The sequence below is a fragment of the Homo sapiens genome, chromosome 4 (genome assembly GCF_000001405.40).
Source record: "Homo sapiens chromosome 4, GRCh38.p14 Primary Assembly".
NCBI lineage: Eukaryota > Metazoa > Chordata > Mammalia > Primates > Hominidae > Homo > Homo sapiens.
The window spans coordinates 73,504,066-73,529,214 of NC_000004.12; the positions used below are offsets into that span (position 1 = coordinate 73,504,066).

At 38.7% G+C, this 25,149-nt stretch overlaps 1 long non-coding RNA gene across 1 annotated transcript, besides 1 other annotated feature; it reads left to right on the forward strand.

Annotated features, from left to right (window-relative positions):
• The first annotated feature begins 4,737 nt into the window (after positions 1-4,737).
• On the forward strand, positions 4,738-24,468 carry LINC02499 (long intergenic non-protein coding RNA 2499). Its single transcript, NR_046377.1, has 4 exons — positions 4,738-5,187; positions 5,610-5,660; positions 6,138-6,278; positions 24,348-24,468. It is a non-coding gene; the product is annotated as a long intergenic non-protein coding RNA 2499 (long non-coding RNA).
• Positions 16,787-17,081: an enhancer, noted in NCBI's record as "tiled region #8651; HepG2 Activating non-DNase unmatched - State 23:Low, and K562 Activating non-DNase unmatched - State 24:Quies". NCBI's record gives its function as "activates a minimal TATA promoter and a strong SV40 promoter by Sharpr-MPRA in HepG2 and K562 cells {active_cell/tissue: HepG2 | K562}" and the evidence as "EXISTENCE:reporter gene assay evidence [ECO:0000049][PMID:27701403]".
• Positions 24,469-25,149: the final 681 nt, after the last annotated feature.

The window sequence follows — 25,149 nt, forward strand, 5'->3', positions numbered from 1 at the left end:
CATCAGCATCTTTTGCTCACATGGCTGCACCATTCCCTATCCATGAAAGATGGAAGTCTGAATAGCAGCTGGGTAGGCACAGTGCTCTAAGATGTCCTTGAAACTACCAGAAAGAAAACTGAGAATTTTGGGCATGAAACTTTACTGCTACAACTACTGCTACTACTAGTAGATGACATTGAATGTTTTCAATGTACCAAACATTGTTCTAGCTAGTTTTCATGCATTATTTCATTTAATCTAATAACTCTATGGGTAGGTATTATTTTCATTTACATTTTACAAACAGGAAATCTAAGGCTTGGGGAGATAAACTAATGTGTTCAGTGTGATATCACTAGTAATTGGCAGAACCAGGGTTTGAATTTAGGTTCTCTAATTCTGGAACTATATATAAATGTATATAACATATATATTATATATTATGTAATAATAATGTTATATATTATATATAATACTGTATAATATATTACATTACTGTAACATATTATAAAATATATAATATATAATATAATATATACTTCCAGAATTTTATATATATTATATATTTTATAATTTCAACTTTTATTTTAGATATAGGGGGTTCATGTACAGGTTTGTTACATGTGTATATTGCATGGTGCTGTGGTTTGGTGTATGGATCTCATCACCCAAGTAGCGAGCATAGTACCCAGTAGTTAGTTTTTCAACCCACACCCCTCTCCCTCCCACCCCTCTGTAGTAGTCCCCAGTATCTATCGTTCCTGTCTTTATGTCCATGTACTCAATGTTTAGCTCCCACGGTATTTGGTTTGAAGTTTGAAGTTGGGTAATGTGATGCCTCCAGCTTTGTGGAACAATATTGTTAACCATTGCATACACTACCTCTTAGGTATGGCCATGTTGCATGCCTTACAAAATCTGTTATTCAGAGAGGTGGAATGATTGTACAAGGCAACAATGACAGTGGTGGTTCTCGCCCTCCATTCCAAGCCAGAATTGCTGTTGTGTTAGTGATATAAATGCTTGATATTGATATCAAAGGAGAAGTAACTCAGGAAATGAAGACTGGTTATGGACTCATGGCCTGGCTTTCCTGGTGGTTCTCTAAACTTTGAAGATTTTTGTATGCCAATGTTTACATTTGAAGATGTTGGCCATTTAATAGATAATACATGAGGCTATTCATAGAGTTATTTTGGTAGAGTGTTTAGAGCATAGTCTTTGGGATTCTCATTGATTTATTCAACAAGTATTTATTAGAATTCTATTGTGTGTCAGACATTGTGGATACAAATATGAGACAGAATTGGTTCCTGTTTCTTGCTAAGCAGGGGAGAGGGACAGTAAACATGCAATCACGTTTCAATGTCATACGTGCAGGGTCCAGGCACTCACTCTAAGCTGAAGGTGCAGAGTGAGAAAGGGATGGCAGCGGGTGCTTTATATCCCTACTGCCATTAATTTACTGTACAGCCCCAGATAAGTTCCTTATACTCTATGACATCAATTTCTTTGTGTAGGATGGGCTAATATCAAGTCACAAAGGCTTTAGAGAAAAGAATTAAATTACTATATAAAGTACTTAATACATTGGCCAGCAGATAACAGGTGTGTAAGTCATAAAGTTATTTTGTCCTCTAACCACTTTCTCCAAGCACTCTCATTTACCAATGAGGATAAGAAGGAAGTATTGCTTTACTTAAACAATAGATAGTAGATTTAGAAAACGGAAGTGAAACAAAGCATAATTAGTGAACTTAATTTTATACTGGATTCTGCTATGTATTCAATACTGTGCTAAGAGAAGCAGATACAAAATCAGGGACCCAGGCACTTGCCGCCATCATAAAGTTTCTATCATGGCAATGGAAACTGCCATACAACTCTTTCTCTACTGCCATGCCAGAACACACATTGATCAAAGCAGGAAAGGAGGGAGAAGAATGGCTTCTGCAAAAGACACAGTTGCCTGAAAAGGAGGAGATTTGGAGTGGGCATGAATTAGTCTTACTCTGTATTACTTGGACAGAACTCATACCAATGAATAGAACATATCTGGTTTGATGCAGAAAAAAATTTTCTAACACTAGAGATGCTTATACATGTGATAAGCCTCCTGCTGCAATACTCAATGCCAAGACTGCATGTGTGTGAGCAGCTACCACCTGGGTTTTTGGTGGCATCCAGTCATGGTCTTTCTAAGGCCTCTTTGAACTCTATTTCTATGACCTGGGCAAGAATTAAGTTTTCTATGAAAATAGTATTTATTAAACATCATCACTGCATCTTGTACTTGCATACCTTCCATATTTTATCTTAAAGGCTAGCCTGAAGAGCTTATTTTCTTCTAGAGCCAATTCTGTGCTGGTGTCTATTGATTGATATCACAAAACCTATCTCATTGCCTTTACTTAAATAATCCTTGCTACTTTTCTTTCCTGTGGTCTGGAATTCTACCACTAGTTACTGATAAGGATTTAACATTTTAAATGTTGTCAAGAATCTCTTATTAATTGCAAATGTCTCTGAAGAAGGGTTCCCAAGGAATGTTAATTTTGGTCAGTTATTTTTTTAAGGAGGAATTAGCTTAGCACACATAACAGTTGTTAAAAAATTTTTAGTGTTAACTCCAATCAACTGATAGTGGCTGTCCTGCAGCTTTGTGCTGTGAGTGTTTCTAAGACTGAGCATAAGCTCAGAGAGAAAGAGTGCAGTGATCAGATAGCAGTGTCTGCGGTGGGTAACAGTCTTGGAGCATTCTTCCAAAGGATTTGACAAAAGATTGGACTTAGTTTAATAGGTACATTTTTGATAGTTCTAAGAAGTTTAGAGTAAGATTTCAAGGGAACAGCACTAAGGATACATGACAAAAGAGACAATGAATGTTAAGACTGTTTAGAGGACCTCAAAATGGATGATGGAGACCTGCCAAAGATAGTCTTCCCCTTGCTGACCTTGGTGGGCTCTCTAGCATCCTTCATATTCTTTATGACAAGCCTATGTGTCCCAAAACTAAATAATGACAGATGTTTTGGGCTTGTTTTTCAGGCAAATATGTCTCTCTCACTTGTGATATATTTTTGCTTAGAAAAATGGTATTGAGAATATGTGAGTAGCAGAATTAAGTAAGATACTGTCAGCCTTAGAGCTTATTTGATCCAAACCTTCCATTTAAAAATGAGGAAATTGAGAAGAGAATAAAGTAATAACCCATGATCTCCCATTTTCAAAATTTTAGACTTTACATGTATAGACATCTTACAATTGTTATTTAGTAACTAATTACCTGTTTGCTGCCTTAGACCCAAGAATTGGTTGATAGGCAAAGCAGACAATAGCTGAGGGATATTGGTGTCTCAGCCTTAACACTAGCTCTTGGATGTGTGGGCTGTAAAGTCAGACAGACATGAATTTTTACCTGTGAGTCTATGAACAAATTACTTGACTCTGAGTCTTAATTTCTCATTCAAGACATACTAATATTGCTAACTATCTGAGAGTCATATAAAGTGACCATAGTAAGTGTTTGATAAATTAGGTCCCATTCTTTTAGGTTCACTCCCAATGCTTGTACAGCTCCTAACTCCCCTTCTCCCCAGGGACTTGAAAATGTACCCAGCATTAGAACCTGAGCCCTGACCATTTAGTCAATCTGTGGTAGTATATGTTTATCTTCTTCCCTTCCACTTTAGAACTTTGGACATGTCAACAATCATTTCTAAGAAATGAGGTATTGCAGACCAACATTTGCCAAGAGTGTTTATGGATTACTTAATTATAAAGTTTGCATGTTGAAATCTTAAAGAAACAAGCAGATTGACATGACTTGTTTAAAAATGCAGTATTCATTAATGAATTCAATCCATCAGCAATATTTCTTCATTGTCATAGATTTCCTCAGTTTTATCAGGGCCATAGTTGCTTGGAAAAAATATTCACCAGAAAAAGGTTTCTTTTTAATAGTAATTACTTGGAAAGAATATAAAGTTCTTCATTTCTCTCAAATGATAGAACACTTTCCATAAAGGTTCTCACGAAGTAATGAAGACTGCTAAACCCACATCTTTTCTTGTTTTCTTCAGCTACATTAAATGTCAATCTCGTTAGAGAAGTTTACTAGATGCGGGTGGAAAATCCTATTTACAATTTACATATTCCAGGTATAAGGATAAGATAAGTAAGCCACAATGACTACTACAGTGTACATGAGAAGGCTTATCTTTTTCAGAGGTCATTACTGTAAATAGAATCATTGAAAATTGCAAGACATTAATTTGTGGAATGAATATACAGAGAGAGCTGATATATTGAAGCAACACACACAGGAATATTCCACTTTAGCCTCACTTCCACTCTAGGTAAGAGAATGTTCTATTTTAAACTTACGTTTAGAATTGGATAAGCAGTTTCAGACAAAGCAATACTTTGAATAATAGCAGAAATAATATTATGAGCTAAATTATTCAGTACCTGTTATGTGCCAGGCCCTGTGCTCAGTACTTCACACATATGCTTTCTTATTTTGTTTTCTTATTTTTAAATTTTATTTTTAGAAACAGGGTCTTGCTCTGTTATCCAGGCTAGAATGCAGTGGTATGATCATTCATACCACCTTGACGTCCTGGGCTCAAGTGATCCTCCTGCCTTAACCTCCTGAGTAGGTAGGACTACAGCGGCCTAACCCTGTACCTGAGTAGTTTTTCATTTTTTTGTAGAGATGAGGTCTAACTATATTGCCCAGGCTGGTCTGAAACTCCTGGCCTCAAGTCTTGGCATCCTGGCCTCCTGCATTGGCACCCTAAAGTGCCGGGATTACAGGCATGAGTCATCATGCCCAGCCCATATATGCTTTCATGTAATCTTAACTACCACCCAATATAGTAGAACTTATTTAAATTTTATTGCCAGAGAAACAGAAACTCAGAGAACTTAAGTTATTTTCCCAAGACCATAGTAAGTACCAGAGCTAGAAGTTGAACTCAGAATAGCTGTTTCTGAAACCTTTTCTTATTTTAATATAGTAAATGATAATGGTTTGTTTATTTAACAACTGCTAAGCTCTTTGGGAGCTATTATTATAGGAAAAATGACACTGTTATCAATAGAGAACATATGCATGTGATTTTGGTGAGTGGAGATGATGAAGAAGATGGAGGTGATCCAAGATGTGTGAAACACCGACTTTGCCGAATTAAGCCTGGCAAGGTATTAATGTTTATACTTTTATATCCAATGCTAAACCTTAATTTTCGGTGTGCTAGTAACTTCTAATATAAAGAGTTAAATAACTGAAATATTAAGTTTAATTCAGAAGTGTTAACAGAAGTACATGCAGCTTATTTGTAGAACAATGATAGATTTCACCTACACAACATATTTGAATATAAGTCATTCACAGAATACAGTTTAAATACAAGTGAAGACATATTCCGAGAATTTGCTTAACTTACAGTAAATAAAAATACATCTAGAAATTTATGAGAGAACAAATATAGGTTGTAGAATTGTAAAGAGGGATTTCAATTTGGAAAATTTTCTTTTATGCAAATATCTCACTCCATCTGAATTCTATAACAAAATACCATAAACTGGATAGCTTTTAAACAACAAAAATTTATTTTTCACAGCTCTGGAGGCTGGGACCTCCAAGATCAAGGCACTGGCAGATTTGGTATCTGGTAAGCATCCTTATATTCGGAATCTGGGATGGCTCTACATTCTGGTCCATAGAAGGTGCCTACTGAGGTGTCTTAACATGGTGAAAAAAGTAAACCAGCTCCCTTGGGCTTCTTTTATAAGGGCAATAGTTGCAGTCATGAAGACTCCAACCTCATCACCTAATCACCTCCCCAAAGGCACCACCTACTAACACTATCACCTTGGGGTTAGATTTTCAATGTATGAATTTTAGGGGACACAAGCATTCAGGCAGCACAGCAGCAAATAAAATCTCATTTATTCAGCCATACAGTATATTAATAGCCAGAATTACCCGGGCAGAATGTAAGAGACATGTGAGTTTTATTATCACTATTGTTTTGTCTGAAATTTGAAATAACATTAATTGTTTTTGGAGGGAATGGAGCAATGATATAACAAAAAACAATGGAAGAAAAGGGCTTGAGGCTATCTTTAACATAAATATTATGTTTCAGCTCCAACATTATGGTTGCTCAGTTTCTTCAGAAAGCAACTCATGGAGAAGTACAAACCACAGTTAGAAAGTTGAGAGATTTCAATGAGAAGCACAGGACCTTTAAGTCACATGGTTACCTTCAGAATGCACTCACCAATTGGTAGGTGAATTATGTTCTCCTGTTTTCTCTTTTTAAACTCTATTGCAACCAAAAGATGTTTTTATGAAGGGGCTTGAATAATTAGGCAAGGGCTTATAAGACAAAGATATGTAGATGAGTCATATCCTAGATGTATTTGTTGTAGGTTTATAAACTTTTTTTTTTGAGTTATGGTATTGCTGGTAATGCAATCATGGCTCTTGACAGCCTCCAATTCCTGACTCAAGCAATCCTCCTGCCTCAGCCTCCCAAGTAGCTAGGACTACAGGTGTCCACTGCCATACCCGACTTTTATTTTTTTTTTACAGATGGGATCTTGCTATGTTGCCCAGGTTGGTCCCAAACTCCTGTCCCCAGGCAATCCTTCTGCCTCAGCATCCTGAGTTGCTAGGATTACAGGTGTGAACAACCACACCTGAATCTAAACCTACATTTTATCAGTTCATTCCTAGGACACCAGGATCTGAGAACCAACACTCAAGAAAATGAATTATAACCTAGAATACTAATTGGTTGATTTACATTGGTTACATTTGGTTACACAGAATTTACATTTTGTGCCTCTGTCACAGAATGCTATTGTCTGACATTCTCATATAATGAATCCTGGGAAACTGAAGTATTAATTTTAAAAATTTTCTGAGAAAATATGAAAAAGAAAAAAAACAGTAAATATATGATGGGATCCTTTTCCCAGTAAGTAGAAAATCTTTGGCGTTATTATTGCCTCATTATAAAATGTATCTATTTTGTGATTAGCAAATCCCATGAAAATAGTGATTCTACTTGAAAATTCTTGATAAATACTGACCTATTCTTATAATCCACATATTTTTTGGATCCATTATCCTCATGCTAAATAATTTAAAATGTAAATGAATGATTTTATTCTTTGTTTATAGATTTTTAAACTTCATCTTCTTGGGGCTAAATCCTACCTATCTTTTATTAGACTCTGAGTAGACATAGAAAAATCATGTCTCACTGGGTGCGGTGGCTCACGCCGGCAATTCCAGCACTTTGGGAGGCTGAGGTGGGCGGATCACCTGAGGTTGGGAGTTTGAGACCGGCCTGACCAACATGAAGAAACCCTGTCTCTACAAAAAAAAAAAAGAAAAAATTAGCCGGGCGTGGTGGCGCATGCCTGTAATCCCAGCTACTCAGAAGGCTGAGGAGGGAGAATCGCTTGAACCCGGGAAGGCAGAGGTTGCGGTAAGCTGAGATTGTGCCACTGCACTCCAGCCTGGGCAATAAGAGCAAAATTCCACCTCAAAAAAAAAAAAATCATGTCTCATTAGAAACACATTTCAAATGAAGCACTTCTGCCTTTGACTAGTCCTACTTATTTTATAGTAATTCTGACTTGCTTCTGCTTCAAAAGATGATGATTGTTTGCCCTTACCCTCTAAATCTGAAAACACATGCCATCTGAGGTTTACAGAATCTCATATATTTACTGCTACTGAAAGATATTTGAAAACTAACTGAATTATTAAATTTTCATTTGGATATTTGACACTGAATACGCATTGTCTCAGAGTTCAATTCTTAAGGCAAGTTCTCACAGAAACCAAACAAAAAATAGGAAATAAGGAAAGCAAACTATTGTATATCTCTTTTCAAAATTTTTTAATTCTTATGGGTACATAGTAGGTGTATATGTTTATGAGTTACATGATATATTTTGATACAGGCATGCAATGCACAATAATCGCATCAGGGCAAATGGGGTATCCATAACCTCATGCATTTATCCTTTGAGTTTCAAACAATCAGATTATAAATTTTTAGCTAATTTAAATGCATAGTTTTTTTTAAAATTATAGTCACGCTGTAGTGCTAGCAAATACTGGGTCTTATTCTTTCCAACTATTTCTTGGTATATATTAATCATCTCCACTTCCTGCCCCCTCCCACCCTCACTATTCCTCCCAGCCTCTGGCATGGCAACCATCCCTCTACTCTCTATCTCCTCTCTATCTCCATGAATTCAATTGTTTAATTTTTAGCTCCCAGAGATAAATGAGAACATGCAATGTTTGTCTTTCTGTGCTTGTCTTATTTCACTTAACATACTGATCTCCAGTTCCATCTGTGTTGTTGCAAATGACTGGATCTCATTCTTTATTAAGGCTAACTAGTACTCAATTGTGTATACGTACCACATTTTCTTTATCCATTCATATGTTGATGGACACTTAGGTTTCTTCCAAATCTTGCCTACTAATAGTGCTGCACTAAACATGAGAGTGCAAATGCCTCTTCAATATTCTGATTTCCTTTCTTTTGGGTATATAACTAGCAATGGGATAGCTGGATCCTATAGTAGCTCTATTTTTACTTTTTTGAGGAAGCTCCAAACTGTTCTCCATAGTGGTTATACTAATTTAAATTCCCACCAACAGTGTACAAGGATTCCCCTTTCTCCATTTCATCACCAGCATTTGTTATTGCCTGTCTGTTGGATAAAAGCCATTTAAACTGAAGTGAGATTATGTCTCATTGTAATTTTGATTTTCATTTCTCTGATGATCAGTGACATTGAGCATCTTTTCCTATACCTGTTTGCCATTTGTGTGTCTTCTTTTGAGAAATGTCTATTCAGATCTTTTGCCAATTTTAAATCAGATTGTTAGATTTTTCCCAATAGAGTTGTTTGAGCTTATTACATATTCTGGTTATTAATCCCTTGTCAGATGGGTAGTTTGCAAATATTTTCTGCCGTTCTGTGGGTTGTCTCTTCACTTTGTTGATTGTTTCTTTGCCGTGAGGAAGCTTTTTAATTTGAAGTGATCCCATTTGTCCATTTTTGCTTTGGTTACCTGTGGTTGTGAGGTATTAGTCAAGAAATCTTTACCCACTCCAATGTTCTGAAGAGATTACTCACTTTTTTCTTGTAGTAGTTTCATAGCTTGAAGTCTTAGATTTAAATATTTAATCCATTTTAAATTGACTTTTGTATTTTGCCATAGCTAGGAGGTCTAGTGTCATTCTTCTGCATATGGATGTTTAATTTTCCCATTTATTGAAGAGACTGTCCTTTCCCCAGTGTATGTTCTTGGCACCTTTGTCAAAAATGAGTTCAGTGTAAAGTATGGATTCATTTCTGGGTTCTCTATTCTGTTTCACTGGTCTATATGTCATAGACCATACACCAGTTATGCAGGTATCATGTCATTTTTGTTACTATATCTCTGTAGTATAATTTGAAGACAGGTAATGTGATTCCTCCAGCTTTGTTCTTTTTGGCCAGCATAACTTTGGCTACTATGGGTCTTTTGTGGTCCCATGTAAATTTTAGGATTCTTATTTCTGTTTCATTGTAAAGATCTCTCATTTTTTTCAGTTAATTCCTAGGTATTTTATTTTATGTATAAAATATTTATTGCCATATAGTTCTTTCCTGTCTTCCTTCTAGTGAAGGTGATTTTCTCTGGTGGTATGATTTAATTCCTTGCTTTTAATTTTTTGTTTATCTGCTACATGTTTTTTGACCTGAGGTTACCATGAGGCTTGCAAATACTATCTTATAATCCATTATTTTAGGCTGACGATAACTTAACACTGATTCAATAAACAAATGAACAAACAAGCAAAAAGAAACCTAATAAAAACTACACCTTAACTTGTCTCTCCACTTCTTAACTTTTTGTGAACAATGATGGTGGTATTTTGATGGGAATTGCATTGAATTTGTAGATCGCTTTGGGCAGTATGGTCATTTTCACAATATTGATTTTACCCATCCATGAGCATGGACTGTGTTTTCATTTGTTGGTATCATCTATGGTTTCTTTCAGCAGCGTTTTGTAGTTTTCCTTGTAGAGGTCTTTCATGTCCTTGGTTAGGTGTATTCTTAAGTATTTTATTTTTATTTCGCAGCTATTCTGAAAGGGGTTGAATTCTTGATTTGATTCTCAGCTTGGCTGCTGTTGGTGTATAGCAGAGCTTACTGATTTGTGCACATTAATTTTGTACCCTAAAACTATGCTGAAGTTCATTTACCAGTTCTAGGAACTTTTTGAATGAGTCTTTAGGGTTTTAAGTATGTGATCTAAGTACTAAATATGTGATCATATCATCAGCAAACAGTGACAGTTTGACTTCTTTACCAAGTTGGATACCTTTTATTTCTTTCTCTTGTCTGGCTAGGACTTTCAGTATTATGTTGAATAGAAGTGATGAAAGTGGGCATCCGTGTCTCGTTCTAGTTCTCAAGGGGAATGCTTTAAACTTTTCCCAATTCAGTAGAATATTGGCGGTGGGTTTGTCATAAATGTCTTTTATTACCTTAACGTATGTCCCTTCTGTGCTAATTTTTCTGAGGCTTTTAATCATAAAGGGATGCTGAATTTTGTCAAATGCTTTTTCTGCATCTATTAATATGATCGTGTGATTTTTTGTTTTTAATTCTGTTCATGTTGTGTATCACATTTATTGACTTATGTATATTAAACCACCCCTGCATCCCTGGTATGAAACCTACTTGATCATGGTGGATTATTTTTTGATATGCTGTTGGATTTGGTTTGCTACTATTTTGTTGAGGATTTTTGTGTCTATGTTCATCAGGGATATTGGTCTTCAGTTTTCTTTTTTTGTTATGTCTTTTCCTGGTTTTGGTATCTGGGGGATACTAGCTTCATAGAAAGATTTAGGGACGATTCTCTCTTTCTTTATCTTTTGGAATGGTGTCAATAAAATTGGTACCAATTCTTCTTTGAATGTCTGATAAAACTCAGTTGTGAATCTGTCTGGTCTTGGACATTTTTTTTGTTGGCAATTTTTAAAATTACCATTTAAGTCTCACTGCTTGTTATTGGTCTGTTCGGAGATTCTACATCTTCCTGGTTTAATCTAGGAGGGTTGCATATTACCAGAAATTTATCCATCTCATCTAGGTTTTCTAGATGTTCATCAGGGATATTGGTCTAAAATTCTCTTTTTTTGTTTGCTGTGTCTCTGCCAGGCTTTGGTATCAGGATGATGCTGGCCTCATAAAATGATTTAATGAGGATTCCTTCTTTTTCTATTGATTGGAATAGTTTCAGAAGGAATGGTACCAGCTCCTCTTTTTACCTCTGGTAGAATTTGGCTATGAATCCGTCTGGTCCTGGACTTTTTTTGGTTCGTAGGCTGTTAATTATTGCTTGAATTTCAGAGCCTGTTATTGGTCTATTCAGAGATTCAACTTCTTCCTGGTTTAGTCTTGGGAGAGTGTATGTGTCCAGGAATTTATCCATTTCTTCTAGATTTTCTAGTTTATTTGTGTAATGGTGTTTATAGTATTCTCTGATGGTAGTTTGTATTTCTGTGGGATTGGTGGTGATATCCCGTTTATCATTTCTTATTGAGTCTATTTGATTCTTCTGTCTTTTTTTCTTTATTAGTCTTGCTAGTGGTCTATCAATTTTGTTGATCTTTTCAAAAAACCAGCTCCTGGATTCATTGATTTTTTGAAGGGTTTTTCGTATCTCTATCTCCTTCAGTTCTGCTCTGATTTTAGTTATTTCTTGCCTTCTGCTAGCTTTTGAATGCGTTTGCTCTTTCTTCTCTAGTTCTTTTAATTGTGATGTTAGGGTGTCAATTTTGGATCTTTCCTGCTTTCTCTTGTGGGCATTTAGTGCTATAAATTTCCCTCTACACACTGCTTTAAATGTGTCCCAGAGATTCTTGTAGGTTGTGTCTTCATTCTCACTGGTTTCAAAAAACATCTTTATTTCTGCCTTAATTTCATTATTTACCCAGCAGTCATTCAGGAACAAGTTGTTCAGTTTCCATGTAGTTGAGTGGTTTTGAGTGAGTTTCTTAACCCCGAGTTCTAATTTGATTGCAGTGTAGTCTGAGAGACAGTTTGTTGTGATTTCTGTTCTTTTACATTTGCTGAGGAGTATTTTACTTCCAATTATGCGGTCAATTTTAGAATAAGTGCAATGTGGTGCTGAGAAGAATGTATAGTCTCTTGATTTGGGGTGGAGAGTTCTGTAGATGTCTATTAGATCTGCTTGGTGCAGAGGTGAGTTCAAGTGCTGGATATCCTTGTAAACCTTCTGTCTCATTGATCTGTCTAATATTAGACAGTGGGGAGTTAAAGTCTCCCATTATTATTGTATGGGAGTCTAAGTCTCTTTGTAGGTCTCTAAGGACTTGCTTTATGAATCTGGGTGCTCCTGTATTGGGTGCATATATATTGGGATAGTTAGTTCTTCTTGTTCCATTGATTCCTTTACCATTATATAATGGCCTTCTTTGTCTCTTTTGATCTTTTTTGGTTTAAAGTCTGTTTTATCAGAGACTAGGATTTCAACCACTGCTTTTTTCTTTGCTTTCTATTTGCTTGGTAGATATTCCTTCATCCCTTTATTTTGAGACTGTTTGTGTCTCTGCACATGAGATGGGTCTCCTGAATACAGCACACTGATGGGTCTTGATTCTTTATCCAATTTGTCAGCCTGTGTCTCTTAATTAGGGTGTTTAGCTGATTTACATTTAAGGTTAATAGTCTTACATGTGAATTTGATCCTGTCATTATGATGTTAACTGGTTATTTTGCCCATTAATTGGTGCAGTTTCTTCATGGCATCAATGGTCTTTACAGTTTCTCATGTTTTTGTGATGGCTGGTACCGGTTGTTCCTTTCCCTGTATAGTGCTTTCTTCAGGAGCTCTTGTAAGGCAGGCCTGGTGGTGACAAAATCTCTCAGCATTTGCTTCTGTAGAAAGGATTTTATTTCTCCTTCACTTTGAATCTTAGTTCGACTGGATATGAAACTCTGGGTTGAAAATTCTTTTCTTTAAGAATGTTGAATATTGGCCCCTGCTCTCTTCTGACTTGTAGAGTTTCTGCTGAGGGATCCACTGTGAGTCTCATGGGCTTTCCTTTGTGGGTAACCCAACTTTTCTCTCTGACTGCCCTTAACATTTTTTCCTTCATTTCAACCTTGTTGAATCTGACAATCATGTGTCTTGGGGTTGCTCTTCTTGAGGAGTATCTTTTTGGTGTTCTCTGTATTTCCTGAATTTGAATGTTGGCCTGCCTTGCTAGATTGGGGAAGTTTTCCTGGATAACATCCTGAAGAGTGTTTTCCAACTTGGTTCCATTCTCCCTGTCACTTTCAGGTACACCAATCAAACATACATTTGGTATTTTTACATAGTCCCATATTTCTTGGAGGCTTTGTTTTTTTCTTTTTACTCTTTTTTCTCTAAACTTGTCTTCTTGCTTTATTTCATTAATTTGATCTTCAATCACTGATATCCTTTCTTCCACTTGATTGAATCAGCTATTGAAGCTTGTGCATTCATCACGAAGTTCTTGTGCCATGGTTTTCAGCTCCGTCAGGTCCTTTTAGGTCTTCTCTACACTTTATTCTACTTAGCAATTTGTCTAACCTCTTATCAAGGTTTTTACCTTCCTTGCGATGGGTTAGAACATGCTCCTTTAGCTCGGAGAAGTTTGTTATTACTGACCTTCTGAAGCCTACTTCTGTCAACTCATCAAAGTCATTTTCTGTCCAGCTTTGTTCTGTTGCTGGTGAGGAGCTATGATCCTTTGAAGGAGAAGAGGTGCTCCCGTTTTTAGAATTTTCAGCTTTTCTGCTTTGGTTTCTCCCCATCTTTGTGGTTATATCTACCTTTGGTCTTTGATGTTGGTGACTACAGATGGGGTTTTGGTGTGGATGTCCTTTTTGTTGATGTTGATGCTATTCCTTTCTGTTTTCAGTTTTCCTTCTAACAGTCAGTTCCCTCAGGTGCAGGTCTGTTGGAGTTTGCTGGAGGTCCACTGCAGACCCTGTTTTCCTGGGTATCAGCAGTAGAGGCTGCAGAACAGCAAATATTGCTGCCTGCTCCTTCCTCTGGCAACTTCGTCCTAGAGGGGCACCTGCCTGTATGAGGCATCTGTTGGCACCTACTGGTAAGTGTCTCCTAGTTAGGCTACATGGGGGTCAGGGACCCACTTGAGGAGGCAATCTGTCCATTCTCAGAGCTCAAACACCATGTTGGGAGAACCACTGCTCACTTCAGAGCTGTCAGATAGGGATGTTTAAGTCTGCAGAAGTTTCTGCTGGCTTTTTTTCAGCTATGCTCTGCCCACAGAGGTGGAGTCTATAGAGGCAGTAGGCCTTGCTGAGCTGTGGTGGGTTCTGCCCAGTTTGAACTTCCTGACTGCTTTGTTTACCTATTTAAGCCTCAGTAATGGCAGATGCCCCTCCCCTCACCAGGCTGTAACCTTGCAGGTCGATCTCAGACTGCTGCACTAGCAGTGAGCAAGGCTCCGTCAGTGTGGGACCCACTGAGCCAGGCGTGGGAGAGAATCTCCTTGTCTCCTGGCTGCTAAGACCATTGGAAAAGGGCAGTATTTGGGCAGGAGTGTCCCATTTTTCCATGTACAGTCTATCACAGCTTCCCTTGGCTAGGAAAGGGAAATCCCCTGACCCCTTGAGCTTCCCAAGTGAGGCGATGCCCCATCCTACTTTGGCTCACCCTCTGTGGGCTGCACCCACTGTCCAACCAGTCCCAGTGAGATGAACAAGGTACCTCAGTTGGAAATGCAGAGATCACCTGTCTTCTGTGTCGATCACGCTGGGAGCTGCTGACTGAAGCTGTTCCTATTTGGCCATCTTGGAATGGAATCCACTATCTCATTTCTTATTTCTAGAAGTAACTGTTTTATATTGAAAGCTCCAGAGTTAGGTGCACATGTATTTAGAATTGTGATATTTTCCTGTTGGACTAGTTCTTTTGTCATTATGTAACATCCCTCTGTCTTTTTTAACTGCTGTTGCTTTAAAATTTGTCTAAGAAAGCTACTCCTGCTCACTTTTGGTGTCCATTTGGATGGAATATCTTTTTCTACCTGTTTACTTTGTTTTTGTGAGTCCTTATGTGTTAGTTGAGTTTCCTGAAGATAGCAAAAACTTGGTTTGTGAACTCTTATCCATTCTGCCATTCCGTATCTTTTAAGTGGAGCATTTAGGACATTTTCATTCAATGTTAGTATTGAGATATGAGGTATTATTCTATTCATTGTGCTATTTGTTGCCTGAATACCTTGTTTTCTTTTCATTATGTTATTGTTATTAAGGTCCTGTGAGATTTATGTTTTAAGGATGTTCTATTTTGGTGTATTTTGAGGATTTATTTCAAGATTTAGATCTCCTTTTAGCAGTTCTGGTGGGCATTTGTTTTTCTGGGAAAGACTGTATTTTTCCTTCATTTATGAAGCCTAGTTTGGTTGGATACAAAATTTTTGGCTGATAATTATTTTGTTTAAAGAAGCTAAAAATAGGACCCCAATCCCTTCTATCTTGTAGAGTTTCTGCTGAGAAATCTGTTGTTGATCTAATAGGTTTTCCTTTATAGGTTACCTGATGATTTTGTCTCACAACTCTTAAGATTCTTTGTCTTGACTTTAGATAACCTGTTGACTATGTGCCTAGATAATGATGCTTTTGTGATGACTTTAGGTGTTCTTTGAGCTTCTTGTATTTGGATATCTAGATCTCTAGCAAGGCTGGGGAAGTTTTCCTCAATTATTCCATCAAATATGTTTTCCAAATTTTAGATTTCTCTTCTTCCTCAAGAACACCAATTATTCTTAGGTTTGGATGTTTACAATAGTCAAAAACTTCTTGTAGGCTTTGTTCATTTTTTAAAAATTCTTTTTTCATTGTCTTTGATGGATTGGGTTAATTCCAAAGCCTTGTCTTTGAGCTCTGAAGTTCTTTCTTCTGCTTGTTCAATTCTATTGCTGAGACTTTCCAGTGAATTTTGCTAATTTCCAGAAGTTGTGATTGTTTTTTATTTATGCTATGTATTTAATGGAAGAATTTTCCTGTCATATCCTGTATTATGTTTTTGATTTCTTTAAATTGGACTTCACCTTTCTCTGGTGCCTCCTTGATTAGCTTATCAACCCTCTGATTTCTTTTTACGGCAATTCAGAAATTTTTTTCTTGGTTTGGATCCATTGCTGGTGAGCCAGTGTGATCTTTTGGTGATGTTGAAGAACCTTGTTTTCTCATATTACCAGAATTGTTTTTCTGGTTTCTCCTCATTTGGGCAGACTATGTCAGAGGAAAGATCTGGGATTCAAGAGCTGCTGTTCAGATTCTTTTGTCCCACAGGCTGCTCCCTTGATGTGGTGTTCTCCTCCTTCCTGTAGCAATGGAGCTTTTTGAGAGCTAAATGGTAGTGATTGTTTTTGCTCTTCTCAGTCTAGCCACACAGCAGAGCTACCGGCTCTGGGCTGGTGGTATTGGGGAGTGTCTGCAAAGAGTCCTGCAATATCATCCATCTTCAGGTCTTGCAGCCATGAATACCAGCACCTGCTCTGGCGAAGATTTTCAAGAGTGCATCAACTGCAGTCCAATAGGGAGGATGCAAACTTGCCCTAAGGACACCTGGTTAAGTATTCAGGTTTCTCAGGTGGTGGGCAGGGCCATAGAGCTCCCAAGAGATTATGACATTTGTTTTTGGATACCAGGGAGGGCAGAGAAAGACCATCGAGTGGGGGCAGGGATAGGTTTGTCTGAATTCAGCCTGTCATTGGGCTGAGCTTGCTTAGGCTGTGGGGGATGGGGGTGTGGTTCCCAGCCCAATGGAGTTATATTCCCAGGGGGATTATGGTTGCCTCTGCTGAGTCATACAGGTCCCCAGGGAAGTGAGGGAAAGCCAGCAACCACAGGCCTCATCTCACTCCCATGCAGCCTGCAATCCTAAAGGCTGGTCTCCCTCCCACTATGCTCCCCCAAAAGCACCAAGTCTATTTCCAGGCAGCCAGTGACGAGGGCTGAAAACTTGCCCGAGAGTATGAGCCTCCCTGTTGAGAAAGCAAGCCGACTCACAGTTTTTCAGTATCTCAGGGAGCCTGCAGGGGTGATCCAGTTCCTTTAAAGGGTTTGTGGATTCTCTCAGCTTTCCTGGTATGTTTCTGCAATAGTTCTTGGAACAAAAATTTACAATGTGAGTCTCCACATGCTGCTCTCTCTGTCCGAGTGGGAGCTGCAAGCTAGTCCTGATTCCTTTCTACCATCTTAATCTGTTATAGTTATTTTTGTTTGGTTCATCATTTAATCTTTCTACTTAAGAATAATTTATGCATCACAGTATTATAATATGCTGTGTTTTTTTTCTGTGTACTTAATATTAGCAGTGAGGTTTGTACTTTCAGATGATTTATTATTCCTCATTAATGTCCTTTTCTTTCTGATTGAAATATTCCCTTTAGCATTTTACGTAGGACAGGTCTGGTGTTAAGTTTTTCAGCTTTTGTTTGTATGGAAAAGTCTTCATTTCTCCTTTAGGTTTGAAGGATATTTTTACTGAATATATTATTCTAGGGTAACTGTTTTTGTTTGTTTGTTTGTTTTTCCTTCAGCATTTTAAATATGTGGTACCACTCTCTCCCGGCCTGTAAGGTTTCCACTGAAAACTCTGCTGCCAGATGTATTAGAGCTCCATTGTATGGCATTTTTTTTTTCTTTTGTGCTTTAAGGATTCTTTCTTTATCCTTAGCCTTTGGGGGTTTGATTATTAAATGCCTTGACATAGTATTCTTTGGATTAAATCTGCTTGGTGTTCTATAACCTTCTTGTGCATGGATATTGATGTATTTCTCTAGGTTTGGCAAGTTCTCTGTTATTACCCTGTTGAATAAATGTTCTACCTTTATCTCTTTCTCTACCTTCTCTTTAAGGCCAACGATTCTTAAATTTGCCCTTTTGAGGCTATTTTTTTTAAGAGCTTGTAGACATGTTTCTTTCCTCCTAATTCTTTTTTTCTTTTGTCTCCTCTGTGTATTTTCAAATAGTCTCTCTTCAAGCCCACTAAGTCTTTCTTCTGCTTGATCAATTCTGCTATTAAAAGACTGATGCATTCTTCAATATGTCATTTGCATTTTCCAATTCCAGAATTTCTGCTTGATTCTATTTTTTTTTTTTTTTTGACATGACTTGCCTCTGTCACCCAGGCTAGAGTGCAGCGGTGTGATCTCAGCTCATTGCAACCTCCACCTGCCAAGCTCAAGCCATCCTCCTACCTCAACCTCCCGAGTAGCTGGGACTATAGGTACATACCATCATGCCTAACTAGTTTTTTTTTTTGTTGTTGTTTTTTTTTGGTAGAGATGGGGTTTTGCCATGTTGCCCTGGTTGGTCTTGAACTCCTGGGCTCAAGTGATCTGCCTGTCTCAGCCTCCCAAAGTACTAGGACTACAGGCGTGAGCCACTGTGCTGGGCCTTGGTTGATTGTTTTTAATCTTTTATTTTCACTTTTTGAGACAAGGTCTCATTCTGTTGCCCAGGCTGGAGCACAGTGGCATGATCTTGGCTAACTGCAACCTCTGCCTCCTGGGTTCAAGCCATTCTCCCACCTCAGCCTCCTGAATAGCTGTGATTACAGGTGTGCACCACCATGGCTGGCTAATTTTTGTATTTTTTGGTAGAGATGTGTTTCACCATGTTGGCCAGGCTGGTTTTTATTTCTTGACCTCAAGTGATCTGCCTGCTTTGACCTCCCAAAGTCCTGGGATTACAGGCATTAGCCACCGTGTCTGGCCTCTTATTTTTCACCCTGTCTTATGGTACTGAAGCTAGATTCTTTTTAATTATTTCAATCTCTTTGTTACATTTATCTGAGAGAATTTGGAATTCCTCCTCTTTATTATCTTGAATTTCTTTGAGTTTCCTCAAAACAACTATTTTAAATTATTTGTTTGAATGATCACATATCTCTCTTTCTCCAGGATTGTTCCCTGGTGCCTTATTTAGTTTGTTTGGTGAAGTCGTGTTTTCCTGGATGGTGTTGATGCTTGCAGATGTTCATCTGCGTCTGACCATTGAAGAGTTAGGTATTTATTATAATCTTTGCAGTCTAGGCTTCTTTGTACCCATCCTTCTTGGGAACACTTTCCAGGTATTTGGAAGGACTTGGGTATTGTGATCTAAGTCTTATATTCATTAGGGGACACTATAAGCCCAGTGATGCTGTGGTTCTTATTGACTTTTAGAGGTACCACTTTGTGGTTTTGGAATAGATCTAGAAGAATTCTCTGGATTACCAGGCAGAGACTCTTGCTCTCTTCCCTTACTTTCTCCCAAACAAATGGAGTCTCTCTCTCTATGCTGAGACACTTGGAGCTTGAGGTGGGGTGACACAAACACCCCTTTGGCCACCACTGCTGGGACTGCACTGGTTAGACCTTAAGGGAGCACGGTACTGGGTTTTGCCTTAGGCTCACTGTAACTACCACCTTGCTATAGCTTTTGTTCACTGAAGGCCCTGGGGCTGTACAATCCACAGGTGGTGAAGCCAAACAACCTTATCTTTTTCCCTTTAGAGTGGTGAGCTCTCTAGGCCCCAGGTGGGTCCAGAAATGCCATCTAGAAGCCAAGGAGTAGAGTAAAAAAACCTTTAAAATCTACCTGGTGTTATATTGTACTGCTGCCGAGCTGAGCTGGCTTTCAAACCATGTAACACAGTCCTTCTCACTATTCCCTTCCCTTTTCATAGGCAAGGGAGCCTCACCCTATGGCCACCACCACCACAGGCTCATGGAGAGTCCTGTCACGATTCCACCAATGTTCACTTAAAGCCCAGGGGTTCTTCAGTCAGCTTGTGGTGAATGTTGTCAAGCCTGGGACTCACTCTTCCAGGCTCCCCTCTGGCCCAGGGCAGGTCCAGAAATGCTGTCCAAGAGCAAAGGCTTGTAATTAGGAACCTTAAGAGCCTGCCTGGTTTTCTACTCTATTGTGGCCAAACTGGTACCTAAGGTACAAGATGAAGTCCTCTTTACTTTTTCCTCTGCTTTTCTCAAGCAAATGGGGCATCTCTCCACAGCCACCACAGCTGGGAGTGTGCTGTGCCTCTCCTGAAACCAGCAAGTTTCCGTCTCACCCAAGGCTAATGGCATACTACCTGGGTAATATTGCTGGTTATTCAGGGCCCAAGGCCTCTTTAGTCAGCAGGTGATGAGTCCTGCCATGACTGGGTCCTTCTCTTTAAGGCAGCATGTTAACTTCGGTCCCAGGGTGTGTCTAGAAATGTTTCCGGGAGCCAAGGCATGGAATGGGGCTTCGTAACTCTGACCAGTGCCCTATTCTTTTGTAGATGAACTGGTATCCAAGATGTAAGGCAAAGTCCACTTTACCATTCCCTTTCCTCACCTGGAAGGAAGGGGTCTCTTTTGGAGCTGTGAGCTGTGCAGCCTGGGGTTGGGGGAGGGCAAACACTCTAAACACTCTCTTAGCTGTCCTGGCTGGTGTCTCGGTAGTCCTTGGGCCTCCCAGTACACTGGTTTTGAGCCCAGCTCAGCACTAGGACTCACCTAGGAATCACAGTCTTTGTGGCCTAGACTGCCTTTCAAGTTTATGTGGGGCCCCAGAGCACTTCAGCCCCAAGTGGCAAGGCTTGCTGAAACTCAAGTTCCAACTGCTAAGATGGGCAATTTCCCTGTACCTAGCTGGTCCAAATGCTCTCTCCATGGGCAAGCATTAGCTAAGTACAGCAAGGTTCTGCTTTCCACTGTGATAGTGGAGCATTGAGTTCAATGCAGTCTCACAATCATTACACTCTCCCTTCCCAGCATACAGATTCTGTGTGCCATGCAGCCGCTGCTAGGAAGGTAGGAAAGGAGTGGCAATGGCAATTCAAGACTGTTTTATTCTGCCCTTTTCAGTACCTATTTCAGTAATATGAGGTTAACTAGAGGAACTGTGATTGCTCACCTGATTTTTGGTTGTTATAAAGTACATACTTTTTTTGTGTAGATGGTTGTTAAATTTGGTGTTCCTGTAAGGGGTAGGGGGAATAGGTCCTCTGCCCCCACCCAGAGAATAACCTACCTTATCTTTCTTGGCAGATAGTTCTCATTAAAAATACCTTGTCCTGAACATTTTGTGTTTATTTTAGTAACTGTCAACTATATGACAATGAACAAATGTATAGAAAAGTGAACAATAGAGAATGACAAATCTATTTGGCCATTGTATAGTGTGTGGGAATTTACACTTACTAAAAGGTTTTCTGCTCGAAAGAGCTATGCCCAGGGTTATTGGATCCAAAGTTTAACATTATGCACTCTGTTGATACAAACATTTTACTGAACTTTCAGAGGCAAAATTTGGGGTGCCTTAGTGAGAGTGAAGAGGAGGTTTCATGCAAAGCATGTGCCTACTTTTCTAAGTGTTGCCCAGCTGCTAATATCTGATCTAGTGTCTGACCTGTTTTCTCCTTCCATGACTTGCAGATGATTTTTTCCTTTATAAGTCTGTTAAAAGCAAAAATAATAATCCTAGGATAAACAAAGTTATAGCATGGTAGCAAATTATCTCTAATTTACTTAGCCTAACAAAATTTCTTTTTCACTTATGCCACCTGTCTAATGTAGATTGGTAGGAGGTCTGCTGTCATAGTCACTAAGGGACTCAGGGCAATGAAGACCTTATCTCAACACCTGCCATATGCTCGCTGTGTCAGAGGGAGAGGATGATACTAAATCATGCATTATCTCTTAAGCTTCTATTCAGCAGTAAGCACATCATTTCTACTCATATACCATTAATGACAGCAAGTTATATTGTCATACTTCACTTCAAAGGAGATGTGAACATGCAGCCCTACCATTTACCTTGAAAAAGAGGAGCTGGAAATATTTGATATAATTAACTTTAACGGCCACTACCTCAATCATCCACCAAGAAGAAAAGATTTCTTATTTTTAAACATAAAGAAATGTTACCACAAGATTTCTGTACTCATTGGTTGTTAGATAATGTCTCTACTGATTTTTTGGTTAGTACTTCAGGTTTCTTACAATATCTGTCATCTTTCATGACAGCATCATTATTCTATATCTGGCTCTAGTCTCCAGAGAGCATCAGGAAATACTATTGTGATAAGGTTACATATATAGATATAGTTCCTGAATCCAGAAACTCTAGCCACATTCTTTAGCGTAATTTAGTTTTCCAGTTTCTGTGTAAATGGGGGACATCTATTCAAATATTTTAAGCATATGCTAGGCCTTTTGTCATGAGATATAATTTCTTTTTCAATTGTTTTGTCATTTGACTGGACTTCAATGGCTGCTGCAGTTTTATCCTTATTGGCATCCCAAGAAGAGTGGAAGATAGATAAGCTGCGGGAATTGAGATTTGTATGTTATCTAAGAAACTGGGGTGGGAGGGAGATATAAAAACATGAACCATTTCTCTGTTCTTTATCTATCACTTCCCCATTAGCTCTTTTACGTTGAGAACCAGGGTCATTTTTCTAGTGACAGGCCTACTTTGTAGACATTACATCCTAAACTTTCATTAAGGGCAATATTATAATAGGATAAACTAGGCTATGCTGTGCTAACAAGTAAACTCCAAAGTTCTAGTGATTTAATTCAATAAGGATTTATTTCTTTCTCATATCACAGTCTAAGTTGAATGGTTCCCTTAGGCCACTCTTAAGGAGTCTGACTAAAACTCCTGGCTAAAATCAACATGTGATTTTTCTTTTTTTTTTTTTTTGTGACAAACAATAGGCAGTCACAAAGCTGCCCTCCCCACACCAGTCTTGGTGTGGCAAATGCAATCTTTGAAGGAGGTTGCAGTTGAGGACTCAGGCTCCCTGGCTGACTTTGCTCTTATACATATCACCATTCCTAGATGAGATGCCTCCATTTGGAGGCTTCTTTATAGGAGGCCTTCAGCTGAGGCCTTCCTCAGGTGCCTCTGCTGAGACCTCCTTATTAAAGAGCTGAAGAATCAAACTTGAAGAAACATTTCTCCACCCTAACTCAATATTTAGGACTTTTCCACTCCCAGACCTTTCCCCTTTCCTTTCCCCTTGCTCCAGCGTCCATAAAATCCCAAGAGCCTTTTTTTGGAAGCTCCTTTAGGAGTGAGCCAGATACCGTGTCTATGCTAGTCCTGCTAATTCTTGACTGGTGCTGGTCCATGGGAAAAAAATTGATCAGGAGGAGTCACCATTTTCTTCAGGTTAACCTCTTGCTTATCCTGTCCCTGTAAGTGATTAAAGGTTTCACTGTTACTTTCATTTTTGCTTCTTGCTTCATTTTTGCTTCTTGGCTACTCTGATACCTGGCAGCTTAGCTCTGTCTAGGTCAGCTCAGCTCCTTATAATTCTACAAGGAGTAACTCAGGAATCCAAGATGTTTCCATCTTGAAGCTACACTATCTGGAGCATTTGTGTCCAGTGTCACTGGGAAACAGAAGGAGAGAGAGTAGGGAACTGTGCAAATAAATTAATGGCCAAGCCTAGATGTGGTGCATAGCACATTCATTCATATTTCACTGGTCAGAACTCAGTTACATGTTTCCAAGCCAGTGTCAAGGCAGATTGGAAAAGTAGTTTTCTTGTGTATATAGGAAGAGAAAAGAGATTTTTTGTGAACATTCAGCCAATTTCTGTCTGTGATGTCAGCTTTTGTTGGGTATGTATGTGTGTTGTGGGGGGTAAGTTTTGCACAAGTTTTGCAGACTAGTAGGAGATATAATTACAGATGAAAGGCAGGTCTGATGCCCAGGCATTATACTGAGCATGAGGAATCTCTAATAGAGAGGTGAAATAAAGACTGAAGATTTAGTGACATTGAATGACACATCTTAGGGGACAATGGCATTACCTTTCCTAGTCTAGAAAAAACTTCTGGGTGTTCTTGAGAACTCTTCTCCACCCACCAATACTTCTAAATTTAATTCCTCTGCACCAGCTGCACAATCCTGCATTTACAATTCAGCTTAGACTATTCAACTTTCTACCTACCATTCCCCTCTGTAAAAACGAAAGGTTTAAATCAATGATTTTCTTCCCCTACTAGCCTGGAAGGTGCAGTTGGTCATTTCATGGGCACTCAAGGAATGTCTGACCTACCTCACAGTGATCTGTTCATAGTAAACATTTAATGCAGGTAAATATAGTCCTAACTCATCTTCATCGTCATGAAATTCTAGAAGTTTCACGTCAACAAAACAATGACTCACAGGTTTTTAAGAAACAGTGTCAGCATATGTTCTTGAATTCCAAGTTATACAACTTTGTGTTTGTCAAATTACAGGTACAGTTATGAAACCTCTAGAAGTCATCCATTCTTGTATAGACTTACTCTCCTGGCATGTCTACTTGCTATGAAACAGCTGTTTAGTCATGTTGCCAAGAAGAAAAGAAGACAGAATGCCTCTAGATAAAGAAATGCTATTCCTATGTCAACTTGCTATGCAAAGTGTGGACTGTGGACCAGCAGCATGTGTGTCGCCTGGCAGCTTGTTGCAAATGCAGAATCTGAAGCTCTCATCTAGACCTACTAAACAGACTTCACTTTAACAATATAACCGGGCAAGTCATATAGTCATTAAAATTTGAGAAGTATGATCTAGCATAGATATTACTTCATAATAAATGTTTAATGTTTCAGTTACTATTGCTGCATAGCAAAACACCCCAAAATTAATGACTTAAAATGACAACTACCACTTTATTGTGAGGAATTCAGGAAAGGCTCATTTGGGTGTTTGGCTTATGATCTTTCATATGGGTGCAGTCAGACAATGTCTGGATCTGGGACTCTGGTGGACTGAAGCACCTGGTCACTGGTCTGACATCTTTTTTTCTTCTTATACAATCTCAGGGCCTCTCTATGTAATCTTGCTGCTAGGCTAGTTTGGGCTTCCCAAAGCCTGGTAGCCTGAGGTCAGTTGGACTGCTTACACATGGCCGATGGCTTCAAAAAGGAGTACTCTAGTGGAGAGAGCACAAGTTGCTTGGCTTTTCTGATCTAGCCTTAGAAGTCACTTCTGCCATGCTCTATTTGTTGAAACACTGTAAAACATCATCAGTTTGAAGGAGACAGTATATACACC